The sequence below is a fragment of the Homo sapiens genome, chromosome 8, assembly GCF_000001405.40.
Source record: "Homo sapiens chromosome 8, GRCh38.p14 Primary Assembly".
In the NCBI taxonomy this organism is placed as follows: domain Eukaryota; kingdom Metazoa; phylum Chordata; class Mammalia; order Primates; family Hominidae; genus Homo; species Homo sapiens.
The window spans coordinates 7952701-7976255 of record NC_000008.11 but is presented as its reverse complement, the minus strand read 5'-3'; the positions used below and the strand labels follow the sequence as shown (position 1 = coordinate 7976255).

Below are 23555 nucleotides of genomic sequence, written 5' to 3'. Positions count from 1 at the left end.
TAATGAGGAGTCCAAGTTTCTGTCTCTACAACAGGGACAACTGGATAGTGATGGCTGCATCTCAGGATGAGCCCACACATGGGAAACATCAAGTTTTGGGGTCGTGAGTCTTCCGAACCTCTGGAGGGATTGTCTGTGTGTTTGTGTTCATGGTAGATGACATTCACTGTGTATTTCTGAATATGACCTACTGACGTGTAGGTTTGCGTGTGAGGTTATTGCAGGGGACTCGGTTTCCTATTTTCTCTTGGGGTATGTTTCATTCGTCAGTTGTTGGGCGGCACGGGAAGGTGAAATTTTGCTCATGTGGCACATCCGTGGATCATTCTCACCACCTTGAATAGTGGAAACTGGAATGCATTTAGAAGATAGGAACGGTGCTCTTCTTTCTTACCCTGGCTCGCCGTTTTTACATTGGTTTCTGAAGGGACCTCAGGCGCCCTGGGACTTGTGCTCTTGCTGGAACCCACATAACGCCGGAAACAGACAGACCGACTTGCCTGTTTCACGGGGTCCACTTCCAATGAGTCGAAACGGAAAATTTTCCCACTGGCGTGTCAGTCATTTGGAACTAAGTCCTATTGATAATAAAGAAAATCAAACACAGGAGTGTGTGTATTCAACTGAAATAAATTCAGAAAGCCCTGAAAAAAAATCTCATTTGGTGTGCTTACAAATGGCATTTGGGGAGATTCCGGGTCATTCGTCCAGCTGCGAAAGCTGCATCTCTGAAGCACAGTCCCTGTCCTTCAATCAGACTTACGTATCCGACGTGGTGTTTCCGTGGAAATGATTGTGGGAAATGGCCCCTTCCTTGTCTGTATTTGCTGATTAGATTTCATGGTCCCTTTCTCGTTAGGTGCAGTGATCAAAGTTGACCAACCCCAGAGGAAAGCTGCCCAGGGCACCACTCAGGGCTCCATAGAACCACAGAATCTTGGACGCAACCCTGCTCAAGCACCCAAATGTGCATACGAACAGGGTCTCCGTGTGACGTGTGTGAAAACTACAGTGTGATGAGCATGACTCGCAGACAGGTTATCGATTGGGCTCCCCTCAAAATCAGTTAGGAACATGAAAGCACACCGATGCCCAGGTCCCGGCTGCAGGAATAAGACCCTCCGACGTCTTGTGTGAAGCCACGGCATCTGCGTTGCTCATGCTTCTGGGGATCATTCTCCTGAAAATGGTGGCTTCTTTCTCCCTGTGGAGCATCTTTCTAAGCAGTGCTCCTTTCTTCCCCCAGGACACTTTACATCAGGCGCACGAAGCCTTCTGATGGACCACACCTGGCCCATGAAAAGACAAGGGAAAGAAACGGGGCCAAAGGTCACAGTCCTCTCATTCCATCATCCTCCTTAAAATCATCCGAATTTCATGGGCCCTGAAGCCAGGGCTGTTTCTTTAAAACTAGAGGCCTTGGCGCCGGGCCTCAATTCTGCCCTGTTCCTTACTGTCTAAGACATTTTGGGAAAATCCCTAGAGCCAGGATCTTCATTCCTGGTAAGCCAGAGAGCCTGAAGACACACCCAAATGCTGTCCCTCTTAGTTCAGGGAACATGTCCACTTTCGTCAGCATTACAATTTTTGCACCAAATGTGCTAACTGCAATTCCACCATACAATGCATAACTGGAAATGGAGGGAACATCTCAGATCATGAACAATCGATGCGAGAATCCAGGAGACACACGGCTTATTTTTGCCTTTTCCCTGTGAAACAAGGGCCAGCAGTAAAAAGGTTATGCTATCTTCTGTTTCACTCCCTGCTTTTAAACGTCTCCGATGTTTTCTTCTTGAGACAGGGCCTCATTCCCGTCACCCGGGCTTTTCTACGGTATAATTTTCCTTGTTTTCTTTTGTCAAAATTAGAACTTTTTATTTCATCTCTATGAAATGTTGAGCCATTATCACATACGTGTGGAAATAGTATCACCCATGCTGTGAGATACGTTGTTTTGATTTTCATCAGTTCTTTAATAAACAAAAGCTTATAGTTGGGATACCTTTGGATTTCTCAAGGTTTTTGTTTCATGTTTTCTTAAACTGCCGCCGCACGTCCGAAACCACTCACTATACAATGTCAGGACCATCTCTCTTTTCTGGTACACATAAATTTGGGGAATGCCATCAATTAGTCTCTCGGTGATTGCATGATTTCCCCAAAGTCTTTCACAGTCTACTTTGTGCACTGAGTATCTCTTCAAACTTCAGTGCATGTTTCTACCATTTGATGCTTTAGTATTTGGCAGCCTAGCTTCCACAAGAGCATTTCATGCAAAGACCTGTCTTGTTCTCCACTGGCCGGTAATTTCACTCGGATAGAGAATCAATAGTCTGAACGTGGAAAGGTCATCGCTGGAAGGTCTGTTGGATTCCACGGATCTCTCCTTTATTATTAAGGAAAAATATACGCTGTGCTAAATACTATACTTCATTGACTATTCTCAGGTCAGAAAGTGCACTTCAGACTTCTTGTGCTTCCATCGCTGAGAGGATGATGATAGCTGCCAAAAGTACATACTTGGAAGTTCATCCCAGCACAAGCGCACACACACACACACACACACACACACACACACACACACAGACACACACACGGTTTCATAGGTAAAGATTTCTTCCCTGACATTCTTTTACCTAAAATAAGGCAACTGTGTGGCCACTGTCCCAACCCGGTTACACTCATATTATATGTGCCTATCACCCTGAGGAGTAATTTGATTCAGGTTCTAGAAGTCATGATGTGGGCTGTGTCTGTTGAATTCCCAGCGATGCAAGGGGACACACCCTGTGACTCATTCCTTAATTGAGTGCTGATATTTGATTGGTTTATCGCGCACCTGATGGGTGGGTGGGGTGTTCACGGTTGGTGGGGGTGAGTTATATAAGGGCTGATGCGGCCAGAGAGCTCGTCATTTGAAGACTCTCTCGGAAGAGATAGCGTCTTGCTGCAACCTGCGGTCCCAGCAGAAAAACCTTGTGATCCTTGTTGCGGGCGACATGGAGGACGACTCACTCTACTTGGGAGGTGAGTGGCAGTTCAACCACTTTTCAAAACTCACATCTCCTCGGCCAGATGCAGCTTTTGCTGAAATCCAGCGGACTTCTCTCCCTGAGAAGTCACCACTCTCATCTGAGACCCGTGTCGACCTCTGTGATGATTTGGCTCCTGTGGCAAGACAGCTTGCTCCCAGGGAGAAGCTTCCTCTGAGTAGCAGGAGACCTGCTGCTGTGGGGGCTGGTCTCCAGAATATGGGAAATACCTGCTACTTGAATGCTTCCCTGCAGTGCCTGACATACACACCGCCCCTTGCCAACTACATGCTGTCCCGGGAGCACTCTCAAACATGTCAGCGTCCCAAGTGCTGCATGCTCTGTACTATGCAAGCTCACATCACATGGGCCCTCCACAGTCCTGGCCATGTCATCCAGCCCTCACAGGCATTGGCTGCTGGCTTCCATAGAGGCAAGCAGGAAGATGCCCATGAATTTCTCATGTTCACTGTGGATGCCATGAAAAAGGCATGCCTTCCCGGCCACAAGCAGGTAGATCATCACTCTAAGGACACCACCCTCATCCACCAAATATTTGGAGGCTGCTGGAGATCTCAAATCAAGTGTCTCCACTGCCACGGGATTTCAGACACTTTTGACCCTTACCTGGACATCGCCCTGGATATCCAGGCAGCTCAGAGTGTCAAGCAAGCTTTGGAACAGTTGGTGAAGCCCGAAGAACTCAATGGAGAGAATGCCTATCCTTGCGGTCTTTGTCTCCAGAGGGCGCCGGCCTCCAACACGTTAACTTTACACACTTCTGCCAAGGTCCTCATCCTTGTCTTGAAGAGATTCTGCGATGTCACAGGCAACAAACTTGCCAAGAATGTGCAATATCCTGAGTGCCTTGACATGCAGCCATACATGTCTCAGCAGAACACAGGACCTCTTGTCTATGTCCTCTATGCTGTGCTGGTCCACGCTGGGTGGAGTTGTCACAACGGATATTACTTCTCTTATGTCAAAGCTCAAGAAGGCCAGTGGTATAAAATGGATGATGCCGAGGTCACTGCCTGTAGCATCACTTCTGTCCTGAGTCAACAGGCCTATGTCCTCTTTTACATCCAGAAGAGTGAATGGGAAAGACACAGTGAGAGTGTGTCAAGAGGCAGGGAACCAAGAGCCCTTGGCGCTGAAGACACAGACAGGCCAGCAACGCAAGGAGAGCTCAAGAGAGACCACCCTTGCCTCCAGGTACCCGAGTTGGACGAGCACTTGGTGGAAAGAGCCACTGAGGAAAGCACCTTAGACCACTGGAAATTCCCCCAAGAGCAAAACAAAATGAAGCCTGAGTTCAACGTCAGAAAAGTTGAAGGTACCCTGCCTCCCAACGTACTTGTGATTCATCAATCAAAATACAAGTGTGGGATGAAAAACCACCATCCTGAACAGCAAAGCTCCCTGCTAAACCTCTCTTCGATGAACTCGACAGATCAGGAGTCCATGAACACTGGCACACTCGCTTCTCTGCAAGGGAGGACCAGGAGATCCAAAGGGAAGAACAAACACAGCAAGAGATCTCTGCTTGTGTGCCAGTGATCAGAGTGGAAGTACCGACCCACACTGAGGGGTACACACACACACACACAAACACAAATACACCCACAAGCGCGCACGGAAACACACACACACCCACACAAACACGAACACCGTGAATCCTACATAAAGTAATGAGGAGCCCCAGTTTCTGTCTCTACAACAGGGACAATTGGATAGTGATGGCTGCGTCTCAGGATGAGCCCACATATGGGAAACATCATGTTTTGGGGTCGTGAGTCTTCCGAACCTCTGGAGGGACTGTCTGTGTGTTTGTGTTCATGGTAGATGACATTCAGTGTGTATTTCTTAATGTGACCTATTGACCTGTAGGTTTGCGTGTGAGGTTATTGCAGGCGACATGGTTTACTATTTCCTCTTGGGGTTTGTTTCTTTCGTCAGTTGTTGGTCGTCAAGAGAAGGTGAAATTTTGCTCATGTGGTACATCCGTGGATCATTCTTGCCACCTTGAATAGTGGATACTGGAATTCAATTGGAAGATAGGAACGGTGCTCTTCTTTCTTACCCTGGCTCGCCCATTTTATTTTGGTTTCTGAATGGACCTCAGGTGCCCTGGGACTTGTGCTCTTGCTGGAACCCACATAATGCGGGAAACAGACAGACCGACTTACCTGTTTCACGGTGTCCACTTCCATTGCGTGGAAACGGAAAATTTTCCCACTGGCACGGAAGTCATTTGGAACTAATTCTCATTGATACTAAAGGAAATCAAACACTGGAGTGTGTGTATTCATCTAAAATACATTCAGAAAGCCCTGAAATAAACCTCATTTGGTGTGTTTACAAATGGCATTTGAGGAGATTCCGGGTCATTCGTCCAGCTGCGAAAGCTGCATCTCTGAAACACAGTCCCTGTCCTGCAATCAGACTTATTTATCCGACGTGGTGTTTCTGTGGAAATTATTGTGGGAAATGGCCCCTTCCTTTTCTGTATTTGCTGATTAGATTTCATGGTCCCTTTCTTGTTAGGTGCAGTGATCAAAGTTGACCAACCCCTGAGGAAAGCTGTCCAGGTCACAACTCAGGGCTCCGTAGAACCACAGAATCTTGGGCACAACCCTGCTCAAGCACCCAAATGTGCATACGAACAGGGTCTCTGTGTGACGTGTGTGAAAACTACAGTGTGATGAGCATGACTTGCAGACAGGTTATCGATTGGGCTCCCCTCAAAATTAGTTATGAGCATTAAAGCACACCGATGCCCAGGTCCCGGCTGCAGGAATAAGACCCTCCAACGTCTTGTGTGAAGCCACGACATCTGGATTGCTCATGCTTCTGGGGATCATTCTCCTGAAAATTGTGGCTCCTTCCTGCCTGTGGAGCACCTCTCTAAGCAGTGCCCTTTCTTCACCCAGGACACTTTACATCAGGCACAGAAAGCCTTCTGATGGAGCACACCTGGCCCATGAAAAGACAAGGGAGAAGAAACGGGGCCAAAGATCACAGTCCTCTCATTCCACCATCCTCCTTAAAATCATCCGAATTTCATGGGCCCTGAGGCCACGGCTGTTTCTTTACACCTCGAGACCTTGGCGCCGGGCCTCAATTCTGCCCCAGTGCTTACTGTCTAAGACATTTTGGGAAAATCCCTAGAGCCTGGATCTTCAATCCTGGTAAGCCAGAGAGCCTGGAGACACACCCAAATTATGTCCCTCTTAGTTCAGGGAACATGTCCATTTTCGTCAGCATTAAAATTTTGGCACCAAATGTGCTAACTGCAATTCCACCATACAATGCGTAACTGGAAATGGAGGCAACATCTCATATCCTGAACAATTCATGCGAGAATCTAGGAGACACACGGCTTACTTTTGCCTTTTCCCACTGAAACAAGGGCCAGTATTAACAATGTTATGCTATCCTTGGTTTCACTCCCCACTTTTAAATCTCTCGGATGTTTACTTCTTGAGACAGGGCGTCACTGTCGTCACCCACGCTTTTCTACGGTGTAATTTTTGTTGTTCGCTTTTGTCAAATTTAGAAATTTTCATTCATCTCTATCAAATGTTGCTCCATTATCACATACGTATGAAAATATTATCACGCGTGCTGTGAGATACGTTGTTTTTATTTTCATCAATTCTTTTGTAAAACAAAGGTTATAGTTGGGATACCTTCTGATTTCTCAAGTTTTTTGTTTCATATTTTCTTAAACTGCCGTAGCACGTCCAAAACCACTCACTATACAATGTCTTGACCATCTCTCTTTTCTGGCAAATATAAATTTTCGGAATGTCATCAGTTAGTCTCTCGGTGATTCCATTATTTCCCCAAAGTCTTTTACAGTCTAGTTTGTGCACTGAGTATCTCTTCAAACTTCAGTGCATGTTTCTACGACTTAATGCTTTATTATTCAGCAATCTAGCTTCCACAAGAGCATTTAATGTAAAGACTTGTCTTTTTCTCCACTGGCAGGTAATTTCACTCGGATATAGAATCATTAGGCTGATTATGGAAAGGTTATCGCTGGGAGGTGTGATTGATTCCACGGATCTCTCCTTTTTTATTGAGGAAAAATATATGCTGTGCTAATTACTATACTTCATTGCCTATTCTCAGGTCAGAAAGCGCACTTCAGACTTCTCCTTCTATCGCTGAAAGGATGATGGTATCTGCCAAAAGCACATACTCGGAAGTACATCCCAGCACAAACACACACACACACACACTCACACAGAGAGAGACACACACACGGTTTCATAGATAAAGATTTCTTCCCTGACATTCTTTTACCTAAAATAAGGCAACTGTGTGGCCACTGTCCCAACCCGGTTACAATCATATTATATGTGCCTATCATCCTGAGGAGTAATTTGATGCAGGTGTTTTAGAAGTCATGATGTGGGCTGTGTCTGTTGAATTCCCAGCGATGCAAGGGGACACACCCTGTGACTCATTCCTTAATTGAGTGCTGATATTTGATTGGTTTATCGCGCACCTTATGTACGGGTGGCGTGTTCGCTCTTGGTGCGGATGAGCTATGTAAGGGCTGATTTGGCCAGAGAACTCGTTATTTGAAGACTCTCTCGGAAGAGATAGCGTCTTTCTGCAACCTGCGGTCCCAGCAGAAAAACCTTGTGATCCTTGTTCCAGGCGACATGGAGGACGACTCACTCTACTTGGGAGGTGAGTGGCAGTTCAACCACTTTTCAAAACTCACATCTTCTCGGCCAGATGCAGCTTTTGCTGAAATCCAGCGGACTTCTCTCCCTGAGAAGTCACCACTCTCATCGGAGACCCGTGTCGACCTCTGTGACGATTTGGCTCCTGTGACAAGACAGCTTGCTCCCAGGGAGAAGCTTCCTCCGAGTAGCAGGAGACCTGCTGCGGTGGGAGCTGGTCTCCAGAATATGGGAAATACCTGCTACTTGAAGGCTTCCCTGCAGTGCCTGACATACACACTGCCCCTTGCCAACTACATGCTGTCCTGGGAGCTCTCTCAAATGTGTCTTCGTCCCAAGTGCTGCATGCTCTGTATTATGGAAGCTCACAGCACACGGGCACCTCCACCGTCCTGGCCATGTCATCCAGCCCTCACAGGCATTGGCTGCTGACTTCCATAGAGGCAAGCAGGAAGATGCCCATGAATTTCTCATATTCACTGTGGATGCCATTAGAAAGGCATGCCTTCCCGGGCACAAGCAGCTAGATCATCACTGCAAGGACACCACCCTCATCCACCAAATATTTGGAGGGTACTAGAGATCTCAAATCAAGTGTCTCTACTTCCACGGCATTTCAGACACCTTCGACCCTTACCTGGATATCGCCCTGGATATCCAGGCAGCTCAGAGTGTCAAGCAAGCTTAGGAACAGTTGGTGAAGCCCGAAGAACTCAATGGAGAGAATGCCTATCATTGTGGTCTTTGTCTCCAGAAGGCGCCTGCCGCCAAGACGTTAACTTTACACACTTCTGCCAAGGTCCTCATCCTTGTCTTGAAGAGATTCTCCGATGTCACAGGCAACAGACTTGCCAAGAATGTGCAATATCCTGAGTGCGTTGACATGCAGCCATACATGTCTCAGCAGAACACAGGACCTCTTTTCTATGTCCTCTATGCTGTTCTCATCGTCACCGGGTGGAGTTGTCACAACGGACATTACTTCTCTTGTGTCAAAGCTCAAGAAGGCCAGTGGTATAAAATGGATGATGCCGAGGTCACTGCCTCTGGTATCACTTCTCCTTTGAGTCAACAGGCCTATGTCCTCTTTTACATCCAGAAGAATGAATTTGGAAGACCCAGTTACAGGGTGTCCGCAGGCAGGGAACCAAGAGCTCTTTGTGCTGAAGACAATTGAATTGTGTGTGAAATAATATGTCATGAATAAATCTTGCAGCAGAGTATTTATTTGTCTCACTTTGTAATCAGTGAATGAGCTTTAACGAATATCAATGCCTAGTGCCTACCCCCCAGAGATAAGAACTTTCAGTCTCTCATGTGTAATCATGGCATCTGGATTGCTCATGATTCTGAAGATAATTCTCCTGTCCCCCAAAGTTTCAGAATCACTTCAGGTGGTAGAAACAGATAACACATCAGTCCCTTTCTCTCTCTTTTCTCTTCACTCAGGAAAACTCTCACTGGACCAAGGAAAATCCTATGGTTTACTAGGGAGGAGTAGTTTTCTCAGCAGTGAAAATGGTGGCTCCTTCCTCCCTGTCAAGTCTCTTCCTCAGGATTGCCCCTTTATCTCTCCAGGACTCTGCTCATCAGGCCCGAGATGCCCCCTGGTTGCGCATACTTGGCCTGTGAAGAAATATGGGGAAGGAATGGTTCCAAAGACCATACTATGCTCACTCCACCATCGCCTCTGACACTATGCTGACTTCATGAGCCCTGGGTCAGAAGCTGTTTTCTTTACACCTCTAGGCCTTGCCTCATGGCCTAAAGATGTCCCCATTTCTTACATCTTATAAATTTTGACAAAACCCTCAGGGCCTAAATCTTCATTCCTCATAGGCCAAAGGGAGATACACCAGAATTCTGTCCCTCTGAGACTGCAGGACATATCAGCTTCCATCGACATGAAATTTTGCACCAAATGTAGTTACTGCAGTTCCACTTCACAATGAGTGACTGGAAGTTCAGACAACATCTCAGACTCTATACAGTTTCTATCCAAGCTCATTTGGTTTGACAATGCTTTTACTCTATAAATCAGCTGTGAGAACACTTAGGATTCATATTATTTAGTCTTTTAATCAGTCTGTTATTATTTTCAATGTATTTACTAGACTTTAGTTTAATATTTCTGATAAACTTTGATGCAAAAATTCTCGATATAATAGTGGCAAACAAAATCCAGCAACATATCAAAAAGCTTATCCACCAAGATCAAGTCAGCTTCATCCCTTTGGTGCAAGGCTGGTTCAACATACACAAATCAATAAATGTAATTCACCATGTAAACAGAACTAAAGACAAAAACCCCATGATTATTTCAGTAGACTCAGAATAGATCTTTGATAAAATTCAACATTCCTTTAAATTAAAAACCTCATGAAACTAGGTATTGATGGAACATATCTCAAAATAATAGGAGCCATTTATGACAAACCCAGAGCCAATATCATATTGAATAGGCAAAACCTGGAAGCATTCCGTTTGAAATTCGGCACAAGGCAAGGATGCCCTCTCTCACCACTCCTACTCCATATAGTACTGGAAGTTCTGGCCAAGGAAATCAGGCAAGAGAAAAAAATAAAGCATATTCAAATAGTAAAAGAAGAAGTTGAATTGTCTTTGTTTGCAGATGACATGATCCTATATCTATAAAATCCCATCATCTCAGCCCAAAAGATTCTTAAGCTTACAAGCAACTTCAGTGAAGTCTCAAGATACAAAATCAGTGTGCAAAAATCACAAGCATTCTTATACACCAATAGACAAGAAGAGAGCCAAATCACAAATGAGCTCCCATTTACAATTGCTGCAAAGAGTATAAAATACCTAGGAATACGGCAAACAAGGCAAGTGAAGGACCTCTTCAAGAAGAACTGCAAACCACTACTCAAAGAAATAAGAGAGGACACAAACAAATGGAAAAACATTCCATGCTCATGGGTAAGAAGAATCAATATCATGAAAATGCCATACTTCCCAAATTAATTCATAGATTCAATGCTATTCCCATAAACTACCATGGACATTCATTACAAAATTAGAAAAAACTACCTCAAAATTCATATGGAATGAAAAAAGAGCCCATATACCCAGGACAATCCTAAGCTAAAATAACAAAGTTAGAGGCATCATGCTACCTAACTTCAAACTATATTACAAGGCTACAGTAACCCAACAGCATGGTAGTGGTACAAAACAGACACATAGACCAATGGAATGGAATAGATATATCAGAAATAAGATTGCACATCTACAACCATTTTATTTTTGATGAAAACAAGCAATGGGGAAAGGATTCCCTATTTAATAATAAATGGTGTTTGAAAAACTGGCTAGACATATGCAGAAAACTGAAACTGTACCCCTTCCTTATACCTTATACAAAAATGAACTGAAAATGGATGAAAGACTTAAATGTAAAACCCAAAACTGTAAAAAACCCAACCCCATATAAAAGTGGGGAAAACCAGGGTACAGTGGCTCATGCCTGTAATCCCAGCAGTTTGGGAGGGTGAAGTGGGCAGATAACTTGAGGCCAGGAGTTCAAGATCAGCCTGGCCAAGCTGGTGAAACCACGTCTCTACTGAAAATACAATAAATTAGCCGGATGTAGTGGTGCGGGCCTGTAATCCCAACTACTCAGGAGCCTGAGAGAGAAGAATCACCTGAGTCTGGGAGGCAGAGGTTGCAGTGACCCGAAATTGTGTCACTGAACTCCACCCTGAGTGACAGAGCAAGACTCTGTCTTAAAAAATAAAAATTTAAAAATTTCAAAAGTGAGCAAAGGACATGAACAGACACTTCTCAAAAGAAGACATTTATGCAGCCAACAAACATGAAAAAAATGCCCAACATTACTGATCATTAGAGAAATACAAATCAAAACCACAGTGAGATACCGTCTCATGCCAGTCAGAATGGTGATTATTAAAAAGTCAAAAGACAACAGATGCTGGTGAGACTGTGGGGAAATAGGAACACTTTTACACTGTTGGTGCGAATGTAAGTTAGTTCAACCACTGTGGAAGACTGTGGTGATTTTTCAAAGACCTAGAATCAGAAATACCATTTGACCCAGCAATCCCATTACAGAGTATATGCCCAAAGGAATATAAATTCTTGTATTATAAAGATACATGCATGCGTATGTTCATTATAGCACTATTCACAATAGCAAAGACATAGAACCAACCCAAATGCCCATCAATGATAGACTGGATAAAGAAACTGTGATACATATACACCATGGAATACTATGCAGCCATAAAAAGGAATGAGATCATGTCCTTTGCAGGGACATGGATGAAGCTGGAAGTCATTATTCTCAGCAAACTAATGCAGGAACAGAAAACCAAATACACATGTTCTCACTTATAAGTGGGAGATGAACAATGAGAGAACACAGACACAGGGAGGGGAACAACACACACTGGAACCTGTCTGGGAGTGAGTGGGGAGGGAGTGCATCAGGATAAATAGCTAATGCATGTGGGCTTAATACCTAGGTGATGGGTTGATAGGTACAGCAAACCACCATGGCACACATTTACCTATGTAACAAACCTGCACATCCTGCACATGTAGCCCAGAACTTAAAATGAAATAAAATAAAGTTTTAAAAAACTTTATTCTAACCTTCCAAAATGCAGGGATTACAGGCGTGAGCCACCGTGCCTGGCCCTGTTTTAACATACCTGAACAAGATTTAAGACATCAGTTTGAAAAGAGCCCCTCTATGGCAGCAACATGAATTCTGTCAAACCTGAAGCAAGAACAAACATCAAATTTACGGTGAAGCTGGGGTACAAAAAATGGTGAAATAAATTATTCTTTATGAAAAGTCTATGGGAAAAATGACCTGAAGAATCAGTCATTTACAAATGGATACCTTATTCTAAGAAGAGATAATACAATGTTGAAGATGAAGTCAACAGAGGAGGGACATCCATACCAATTTTTGAGGAAAAAAAAAATCGTTTCTATGCCCTAATTGAGGAGGATTGACAATTAACAAGAGATATTACAGCCAACACCACAGACATCTCAATTGGTTCAGGTTACACAATACTGACTATAACGTGAAAGTTGAGAAACTTTACATTTGATGAGTCCCAAATACCCTTGTGCCTAGATGAGCAGTGGACAAAAGCAGAGCTATTAGTGACTATTTTGAGCAAGCGGAATCAAGATCCTGAAGCATTGTTTTGAAGAATTATAACAGGGAGTGAAACTGGCTTTATCAATAAGATCCTGAAGACAAAGCACAATTCAAGCAATGGCTACCAAGAGGTAGAAGTGGTCCAGTCAAAGCAAAAGCAAACTTCTCAAAAGCTAAAGCCATGGAGGTTTTGGGGATGCTCAAGGCATTTTGCTTGTTGACTTTCTGTAAGATCAAAGCACGATAACATCTGCTTACTAGGAGAGTTCTTAGAGAAAATTAGCAAATACTTTTGCAGAAAAGCGCCCTGTAAAGCTTCACTAGAGAGTCCCTCTGCACCACAACAACACTTCTGTTCCTTCCTCTCATCAAACATGGGTAATTTTGCAAGAGTTTTCATGGGAAATTATTAGGCATCAACATTACAGTCCTGATTTGTTTTCTTCTGACCTTTTTTTCCCTAATCTTAAAATAACTGTAAAGGGCACTCATTTTTCTTTAGTTAGTAAAAGAAGACTGCATTGACACGGTTAAATTCCCGTTACCCTCAGTTGTTTAGCAATGGACTGAATGGCTGGGATCATCCCTTAATGGAGTGTCTGGACCTCAATAGAGCTTATATTGAGAAATAAAGTTTATATTTATATTTTTATTGTTAATTCCATTTTTCACTGACATTTTTAAATCCCTTCACAATTCACCTTTGTCTCAAAGGTATTTAAATTTAGAAATCATATCAAGTGTGAAATAAAGAAAATTAAATAGAGAGAGGGAGAACAGAATCTATAAATATGCATGTTTGTGTACATACATCCATATACATACATATGTGTGTGCATGCAGTAATTTTATTCTCCTAAAGCAATGCCTCTGCCTTCCACCCTCACTGCACATGTCCTAGTCCTGTGATGTCCCTGGAACTGAGCACCTGATTTCCTTCTCTCCCTCCCACATGAACAGGGAATAGAAATGGAAACCACGCTCTGTGGTTGCTGTTGTGAAAATCCATGTTCCCCACAGGCTGAGTTTGGCATCTTACATTCTAGTTCCCATTGTAAAAAAGCAAGCAACAAACAAAAAATACAAAAGAAAAAATAAAATAGTTGAAAGTCTAGAGCCACAGAGTTTCCGGATCCACCCACCGCCCACGGTGACCTCCACAGCCCTCCAGGCCTGAGGACAGCTATGCCTGAACAGCCTGCCTCTTCACCATCCACGCAGGAAAGTGACTTTAAACTTCAATAGCTATTACTCTGTTCCACAAGGAACCAGGTCAACATTCAAATTCAGTGGTCTGACAACTCTAAGCTTTGGCCGGAAAGTATTGGAAACATTTAATGTGCAGTGGATGAAGCAGCCCGGCCCCACTGCACACAACACACTCACGGGGACTCAAAGGAAGAGACTCAGGATCTGCTGGGTGGAACTGAGGACAGACCCAGAAACACAGGGGGTGGGGAGGGGGTCAAACCAGGAGGGCTCAGGACCTGACCTCCTCCTAGGCCCTGCCCCTCTGGAACTCGCAGTTTTTTCTGACCCAGAAGCGGATTTCACTGATGGAAAAGAAGTTCAGTATTTCTGGTCCAGCCCAGTAAGCTGCTCCCATTGCCCAGCCTTCCACACCCCTGCAGACGTCACAATGCCTGCACCCACTAACCTGACAAGGGAGCTATGCATCACCTGGAGACAGTCTTAGGCCTGCACTCCTGTGATGGGGTCCAGGGTCTGTGTCCATTTCTGGTTAAAATTGCTGTGAGGCTGGTCGCTGTCTTGGCCTTCCCTGCTTCCTCTCTGTTCACTTCTCCCCTCCTCACTCCATGTGAAGTTTTTACTCAGGAGATGGATTCTCACCCCTCTTGGAACATCAAGGACAGTGCCCGGACACCGCACCATCCCCTTGACCCTGGGATTCTGTAGACCTCAGTCTTCTCCTGAGGTCCCCTCCCTCCCTACCTCATTTTTTCCATACTTCTGGGACCTGGGCCTGCTACACCTCAGGCTTCCTCTTCACAGTCACAGAGTGAGGGAGTCCCCTTCATCCTTGAGCTCTGGCCACAGCTCACCTGCTGCAAGACACTCAGCAGCTTTCAGTAGTTCATGCAGACATCTAGCTGGAAGTGGGATTTCCTGGAAGGAAAGCAGGAACCCAGAATTACACTGAATTCTAACACCAGGGCCCAGATTCCCCTTCTGCATGGGACACTAAGCTGCAAACACTACATAGGCACTTAATGCTCAGCTGTCCTTCTAACATCTGGTCCAATTGTGTCCCTCCTCCTTGGAATATCTCAGAAAATGTATCTACACCTAGAGTTGTTTGAAAGCATCATCCTATGTGATTGCAGACCATCAGGGGGTGCAATGGGTCCTCACCAATATTTCTACTCTTCTTGGAAGACTTAGAATATCCTGCGGCTGCTCAGAGGGTCAGATTCCCATCTCTGTGTTTCAGTAAAACTTCAGTCTTCCCCGGACAAGTGAGGAGACAGAAAATGTCTAGTCTCTGGCACATCTTTTGCAAGCAATGGCGGCTCCCAGGAATCAAAACTATCAACGAATATATTTTTGAGACTCTGGTCAAAAGAAGAGTCATCCTGCAATTTCAGGTAGGATGGAGTGGTTCTGTGGCTCCTGAGGTGATTTTGAAAAGATCTTGACTCTCAGAAGGACCAAGGAGGACATTTCTGGCATTTCCAGACCAGGAAGACTGACTGACGGACCTCCAGTATTACTTGGAAAACTTTTTGTTGGACAGCTTTGTAACAAGAGGATCTTGCTTTGGCTTTCAGGCCTTCACATAGGTTGTTTAGATAATGGAAGTGTTTCTACATTTCTGCATAGGCTTAGGATGCCTTCTCAAGTCGTCCCTGCAATTATGAGACAGTTGCTTTCTCCAGAGGTCACTTAGAATAATACAAGAGGCTTCACCCTCAAAGGGACACCAGACAATATAGCCACAGTTCAGCCAAGATTATCTGTATTTACATACCTGTGAAGTAACACTCCTAGTTATCTCCATTAACTTGGACATCTTTCATGAATAGGGAAACTCTAGTGATTGTTATATAACAGCTGCCACAAAAATTAACCAATAAAAAGAAATGATATACGAAAAATAATTAATAATCATGATAATGAACTCAATGACCTAAATAGTACGAATTTTAATACTGGAGACATTATAAACGTAAGGATACAAAAATTAATGTGGAGCTTCCCCTAAATATATGAAAACTTCACAGACTGTCCTCCTTGTGTAATTTGGAGTCAGAGTCAAAGAATTTCTCTATGAAATGTGTTCCATGATGGCAAACATCAAAAACAGGAGGTGAAAGAAAAGCAAGCCGCAGGAGACCATGGGCTAATATGAACATTTGTGTGCAAACCTCTCTCATCAAGAACTACCAGCCAGAGGTGAAGGGACTGTGATTTGTGTCCTGCCCACCACTGGGCACACAAAAGCTTTCAGTAGTGCAACCAGATGGTTGGTTTGGCCTGGCTCCCTGCAAGGAAGACACGTCTCTGATCCCCACCAGCCCATCAGTCCTGGAACTCAGAATCCTACATGCAGTAAACATGAAGCTCCAACTCCATAGCTGACTTTACCTCCTTACTGTCCTTCTGCCATCTGGTGTTTCAGGTGCTCTCCAGATCTGGACTTCTTGGCTACCCTACCTTTACCAAGTGAACTCAGGATGTATCATTCTCAGTCTTCTCCTGCCAGTCCAAAGTGAAACTCACCAATACAGACATACCCTGAATGGGCTTCCTTGGAATATTTAGAAAACAATGAACTTGCTCAGGGGTGGTGTGAGCTCTAGGAGTAGAGTTACAGTCTCCCATGGAAACCCGAGAGGACTTAGAATATTCCCAAAGGCCTAAGCAGTCCAATCTGTCCTGGAAACATCAGGAATGATATACTCGGTCTTCCTGAGGCTCCAAAATTTTTCTAAATAAACTCAGAGGTTACAGAACCATTTTTCTCTTGAGAACTGAAGTGGAGTTATTTGTCTTCTGCCAGCACTTCAATTTTTTTTTCTCTAAGTTAGATTTTGAGCCCAGAAGTAGATATTCCTTGTATTTGATTTACACAGGGAGCTTCCTAGAATGCCCGTGCCTCTGGATAGTTTCTGCATTCACTCAGGTATTGACAAAATGCTGCAGTTCTACTGAAAATCTCTGAGATGACCATTTGATCACCTGAGTAACTTTAGAATGTGTCTTCTATGGAAGCCCTGGAGCCTCCCTTCTGGTATTTCATACATTGCTGGTACCAAGTACCCAGGGTGAAACCCTCCATCAGACATTGTTGGCAATTCCAGTATGGAGATGACACTAACATGATGGGGCTCAAGAATCAGATGGTACAAGACCAGCTGGGAGGTGAAGTTTCAGTAGGCTAGGGGCTTAATGTTCCATGCACACCAGACTTCTGAGACTCAGTAGGTGGGTATGGATCTGTCTGCCCAGTGCCTCTCATCTACAGCCTGGACCAGCTATTTCTTGGGTTGCACTACTGAAGGCTTTTGTACGAGCTGTGTCAGGCAAGACTCTGGCCAGACCCTTTGCCATAGTCCATTTGTAATGTATTTCCACATGGCACAGGTATCTCCACTTTTGCCCATGCTCTCATGTGGCTCAGAATAATTCTCCGTACTGCCACTCTTCTTTGCCTTCACAGAATATATTTCAAGATGTAGCCCTAAGCTTCCCCATCTAATCAATAACATGAGGGCTCATATGGGAACATTGTCACAGGCTTACAGGAATATGTTCTTAAATATCTGCTTTTTATTACTCTCTTCATTAAATTGACATATCATCACCATTATGATTGTTATTAATGTTATTATATTGGTACAGTTCTTTATCATGGATATATTTGTGGTCATTTTTATGTAATGTTGAAAAATTTTTTTATGTTCCTGAAGACTGTTGAATTTGCTGAAGATGATTAAAAGACAACCTTAAAACATAAATACCACAGCAACCCCAGGACTCCTACTGTACTGCCTGGTGTCCTGTAGAAGAATGGGCTTCCTGAATTATTCTTTTATTTTTCAGGCAAGTACCTATTCATACCAGCATAAGAGACTGATGAAGTGCACCCTCATCTTGCCATGGGCTCAGAAAGAGTTCATACATCGGCTTTATCTGATAGCAACTCTGTGTGTAGGCCTGTGAGTCCTAGAATGCACTTTCTTTCACCAACTAGTCCACGTAACAGTTTTCTAAGTCAAATCCCCTCTCCATGCTTGGATAGGTCATGAATGGCTTTCTGTTACCCACCTAAGATGAAGGGATATTGCCAAATCAGGTTTGTGGCCAAGAAACTTTTACCTGGAGTGGCAGGAGAGGGCCTACCTGTTCACCAGAGTGTCTGTGAATTTTCTTTTTTCTTCCTTTTTATTTTATTTATTTATTTATTTATTTATTTATTTATTTATTTATTGAGATAAAATGTCTCTCCGTCGCTCAGGTTGGAGTCCAGTGTCGCCATCTTGGCTCGCTGCAACCTCCAACTCCCAGGTTCAAGCGATTCTCCTGCCTCAGCCTCCCGAGTAGCTGGGATTATAGGTGCGTGTCACCACGCCCGGCTAATTTTTGTAGTTTTAGTAGAGAGGGGTTTCACCATGTTAGTCAGACTGGTCTCAAACTCCTGACCTCATGATCCGCCTGCCTTGGCCTCCCGAAGTGCTGGGATTACAGGCATAAGCCACCGCACCTGGCCTCTGCAACATTTTCTAAGTCAGTATAGAAGCTCTTTGAACCATCTTTTCAGTCAAAGAACTCATGAAAAAGTCCTCCAAGAACTTGTGACCTTCTGGAAATTGTCAAAATCTCTACAGGTGTCCAGAGTCATCTAGATCTGTATTGCAAGCTACTGACTGGGTTCCACCACTATTAAAGCAAATGCAAAATATGCCATGCCCACCAAAAAAAATCCAGAAGCCGTGGTATTTAGCTGTTTCCATCTTTCTTGCCTCCTGCAGGTGGGAGAGTACTGAGTATCATGCCCTCCTGCAGCCTCTGGAGGACATGCCAGTGCCTAGAGGTACCAGTAGAGAGGGGCCATGAAAGAGCAGATGACAGCCAGGTGGCTGGGAATGACATTGTCCTGGGGCTTATTGCTTGTCATGAACTCTGCCACTGGGCAACATGTGCAGGTGTGGACCCGTGCCTTCTCTGGATCCCTGCCCCATCAGCCAGCTGTCTTATCTCCTGAAAGCTGATAGGTGTTGGTCAGCATGGTGTTCCAGGACCAGGGTTATATTAACATTCCCTCTTAGGCTGAAACACCAGAAGTTAACACAGGAGTCCCCAGGTGTGCACATACTAACCTCCAGATTGTTTTTCTTCTCGTTCTAGATGTTCATCCTTGCTTTTTGGGACTTGAAGTAACCCTACACAGCCAAATATTTATGCCTATTATCCACTTATGGAAAACTTATATGTCCCAAGTCCATAGGGTTAGTATTATTATCAGTATTAAAACCATTAGTACTAGTATCATGATGATCATTATTCCTGTTAATATCCATCAATATTTTTATTACTGCCATTGTTAATATGGATTTTTCATCATTGTACAGCAATGAATATAGTTTATCCATTCACAAATGGTGTTCAGTTACTAAAGATGACTGCAAGGCATGTGCTACAGACATATACACACACAGCTATCCTGGAGACCCAGCTTTGCCACCAATTGCTCTTTCGTAAGTTGAGATCCCCCAGTACCCACCAGTTTTTCAGGACTCAACCTGAGCTGGCTCAGCTAGACCCGGAAAAGTTTCCTATGCCCAAATGTACTTGGAAAAATTTTAAAGTCTCTTCAGGGCCCAGTAATAGCTTTTGGCAGCTTCTAAGATCAGGGAGGGTTTCTTGGCCATTCAGAGCCATTCAAATATTCTAAGTAAACTCAAGGATCCAGAAACCCCACTTGCAGTCATGAAATACCAGTGAATAGCCTCTGTGAGTCTCTTCAAGGTTTTCAAAGATGACTGCCTGGGAAGGCTGGCCAGGAAGTCACCCAAGCCCAACCTTCGGCAGGATGTTCTATATCAGCCAGGGACCCAGGGAATTGCCATTGAACAGAAGGGAGGAACAGAGACAGCACGCCTGAGCTTCTGGAAACATTCTAAGTGCCCTTGTTGGCCCAGAAAAGACTGGTGCTACCATATGAGGCACAGACTTGGCAACCTACCTACTCCAGGAACCACAGAAGGTTTAAAGGTTCCCAGGAAGTCCCAGGAAGGGCAGCCATGGCCCTTTAGAGCCATCAGATTTTATTCTAAGTCTACGTGGGAGACAGTGCTCTTAGCTTCATAAAAACACCAGTGGAGGTGCTAACACTTGCCCCAGTATCCAGTCTTTTCTACCTCATCTCAGAGCCAGGAAGCCACTATTTCCCAAAGCTGCTGTGCAATGAAAGGGGAATATTCTAGGTGCTCTCCTGTGCCCACGAAATTCTGTGGCTGCGCTGAAAGGCAGGAGATGTCCTCCGGAATGCTCTTCAGAAATCTGACAACACTGGTCAAGATTAAAGAAGCTCAATTCAACGTCATACAAAACCAATCCCAAATATATATATGTGCATAGTGAGGCAAAATGATGAACACACCTGCTAATAATCATAAATGACAATAATAACAACAATGATGATCTTAGTGATAATGCCACCAACACTGTTAATGGCAATAACAATAAACCTGAGGTAATGAGTGTTAGGGTCCCGATTCACCAATGTGAAGGATGGCGACAATTTCTGGCCTCACAGAAATAAAGGAAAAGTAAACACCTGGAGGAGGAGGAGGTGAACCTGGAGCTCCCGCCGGCCTCTGGGCGCTCCTTGGTGGAAGGAGAGGGACTTGGTCCTGAGCCTGCCCCGGATCCACCTACACCAGAATCCCAGAGTCCCAGTCCCTGGATGGGCTCAGTCCCGCCCAGGCCAGACGCCCCGGAGCCCCGCAGCCCGGGTCCTCCAGCCCTCGCTGCCGCCGCTTCTCGCGGAGCCGGGGCCGCCCCCGCGCCACCTCAGCCTCTGCGGGGCTCTGGGAGGGCAGCGCCGGAGGATGCTCCGGGCCCAGCGGGGGCATCCGGGCCCAGCGGGGGTATCCAGCCTCAGGCTGATACTGACGCCCTGAGGGCGCGGAATAGGGCGGCCTGCGCAGGGCCCGCCGTCTCGGGCCTTGCAAAAAGAGCGGCCTCTCCAACGCCCCTACCGGAACCTCCCCGGAGGCCCCAGCCCCAAAGCCAGGGCGATGGCGCCTCCCTGACAATGGGTGAAGAAAACTCAGGTCCTCCCTGGAGACCCGGCCCGCCGCGGGAGGCAGACCGCGCATGCGCCCTGCATGGCCGGAAAGGTGGGTTTCATTGCCCTCTGCCGGCCATGAGGTGGCAGCACAGGACGTTTGGTCTTAGCGGTGGACCTGAGTCTGAATCACTGAAATTCAGGTGTGGATTATTCAGTACTTTCTTTTGGAAGATCAAATGGAAATTGAGTACGATATCTTGTGCTTTAATTAAAGAAGATGGAAATAAAGAAGCAAATTCAAAAATCAGTATACAAAAGTCGATTGATTCCCTCTATGTGGAGGGAAGACGAGCTTGAATAAGAGAAGCATTCTGTGTTACGCTTTAATAATGGCTGGAGATCTGCCACCATGCATTTGTCAAATCCCATAGAATTTCACAGCACAAATAGTACATCTTAATGTGGCTCAGGAGTACATATAATGTCAGCCACAGTTTGTGGGTAAATTACATATTTAATTAAATAGATTAAACAATAAATAATGATATGAGCTCTGCCTGGACACAGTCCTTGCCTCTCCAACCAGTTTGCCAAGGGCTTGAATTTCTTGCTCATTATCCTCACACTTGACATAAACCCTGGCTGCAGAGTAAAATCAATCACTCGTGGAGATTTTTTAATATGATGATGTGTCAATTTCAACCATGGATAAGGCCATTTAGCCTTAGTAAGGCCGATCGTATTAAGATTCTGCCTGTTTGACAAAATTTCAAGTCATCCCACTTGATATTTAGGAAACATTTTCTCTTGAGTTTTAGGTTCAGTGGTGAGGCTCCTTCACGGACAATACATTTTCCAATTCTGAGGACAAGGCAGAGGAGGGCCCCTCTGTGAGAACTTTCATTTTGCTTCGGGAAAAGTACATTGAATCAAATATAGAAAAGGCTTGCAAGGTGGCTGACAGGTTCGGCTGTTTTATCATGCTGGTGTTTTATCTTCTGGACTGCAGTAAAAGGAGCACAGCTGTGTCTGTCTCTGTGTAATAACTCAGGACTCACCTGAATAAAATGTGGGGTGTCATGAGATGAACTGCTACTTCCAGTTAGAGAGGCTCCAGGGACAAAATTTCAAGAGCCTTCTGAGGGATAGAAGAGAAGAGCTGCCTTATTCTCTGATCCCAGGTAACTGCTCAGAGACAGAGGCAAGAGCTGGGGACACCCAAATGCATATACTAGGGGTCTTTGATACAGCCTCCATTTCCCTGCTAAATCTATGCAATGACAAACTGAGAAATCTAGCAAGTGGGGCTGAAGATCCCTGGTGTGTCAACTCGAGGGTTGGATGGAAACAAGTGGTTTTGGTGGACGTTGAAGTAAAGGGAGGTGAGCTGTGAGGAAAGAGCTGTTGAAGACTGGGGAGACTCAGAAGTTGGGGTAGAATCTCCACCAAGAATCTCACCCAAGGAGTTCAGATGCGAATCAGTTTGTTAGGGCTGCATAAATGAAACAAGGGCTTCACCAACATACTAAGTTTTTTCAACAACAGATTGTATTCTTTCAATATTTGTAAGTATTGCTCTTTTGGAAAAGTTTAATGAGATTTCTTATATAATTCTGCATTCAATTTATTCCTTGGTCACTTTGCTATTATGCATTTACATGCCACATTTTTATGAATAGATATTTTCTCAAATTTCTGAATTATTTTGCTAAAGTATGTGTTAAGAGTTTTTTCTAGAGGTCCACCTTCTTGACTCACTTTTCTGATGAGAAATCTATCAGGTTTCTCCACAGTGATTTTCAAGTTTGATAGCTCCTCAATGTGAGAAACTGAATGTCAACTAAGAAATGAATTACCACTAAAGAATTTTCTTCTTTCAAGATGCTAACCCTGTTTTGTCCAGTGTGAAATCTCACATGTGCCACATGTGTTGCTCTATGAAGAAAGGATTTCTCATGATTTTTCATTGCATAACTTCTCCAGTAAGAAGTATTTGGTATTCCAAGAGAATTCATTGCCCTTGGAAAGACTTTCCCTTGTTATTTAGCTTATGAAGGCTTTCCTCTCTTATTTTCCATTTTAGCAGCATTTTGTCACTCTTCTCTTGTGAACATCAAGCCTGGTGCTTGGCTGAATGTTCATTCACAGAAAAATACAAATAAAGGGTTCATCCAAGTAAAGTTTTCTCATGTTATTTGACAATAAATTGCAAATAAAAACATTTTCACACTGAATGCAGAGTTAGAGATTCTCTACCTGAAAGTCCCACATGTTTTAAGTTAAAGCTGTTGCTGAAGACTTTTAGTTGATTATGCTGACAGTTTCAGCTCTCTCATGTCATTTATGCTCAGATCACTAACAAGTCTTTGGTACATACATGTCATACAATTTCTCTTCCATAT

General features: G+C 44.4%; 1 protein-coding gene, 1 long non-coding RNA gene and 2 pseudogenes across 2 annotated transcripts in view; 2 read left to right on the top strand and 2 right to left on the bottom strand.

Moving 5' to 3' along the window:
- Positions 1-21243, bottom strand: part of FAM66E (family with sequence similarity 66 member E) — a 53743-nt gene extending 32500 nt beyond the window's left edge. The window contains exons 1-2 of the long non-coding RNA NR_027424.1: positions 20698-21243; positions 14960-15023 (exon numbers count right to left, since the gene is read on the bottom strand). This is a non-coding gene — a long non-coding RNA (family with sequence similarity 66 member E). The remainder of the gene's footprint in view (positions 1-14959; positions 15024-20697) is intronic.
- The window catches only part of LOC124901865 (translation initiation factor IF-2-like), a 451468-nt pseudogene that overhangs the window by 88936 nt on the left and 338977 nt on the right, over positions 1-23555 (bottom strand).
- USP17L8 (ubiquitin specific peptidase 17 like family member 8) lies at positions 3003-4595 on the top strand. The gene has a single exon (NM_001256872.1). It carries the CDS (start codon positions 3003-3005, stop codon positions 4593-4595), a length of 1593 nt encoding a protein of 530 aa, NP_001243801.1.
- Positions 7712-8912, top strand: LOC392187 (ubiquitin carboxyl-terminal hydrolase 17-like protein 2-like; annotated as a pseudogene).

Coding starts and splice junctions, on each gene's coding strand:
- USP17L8 (NM_001256872.1), top strand. CDS start 3,003: ATGGAGGACGACTCACTCTACTTGGGAGGTGAGTGGCAGTTCAACCAC.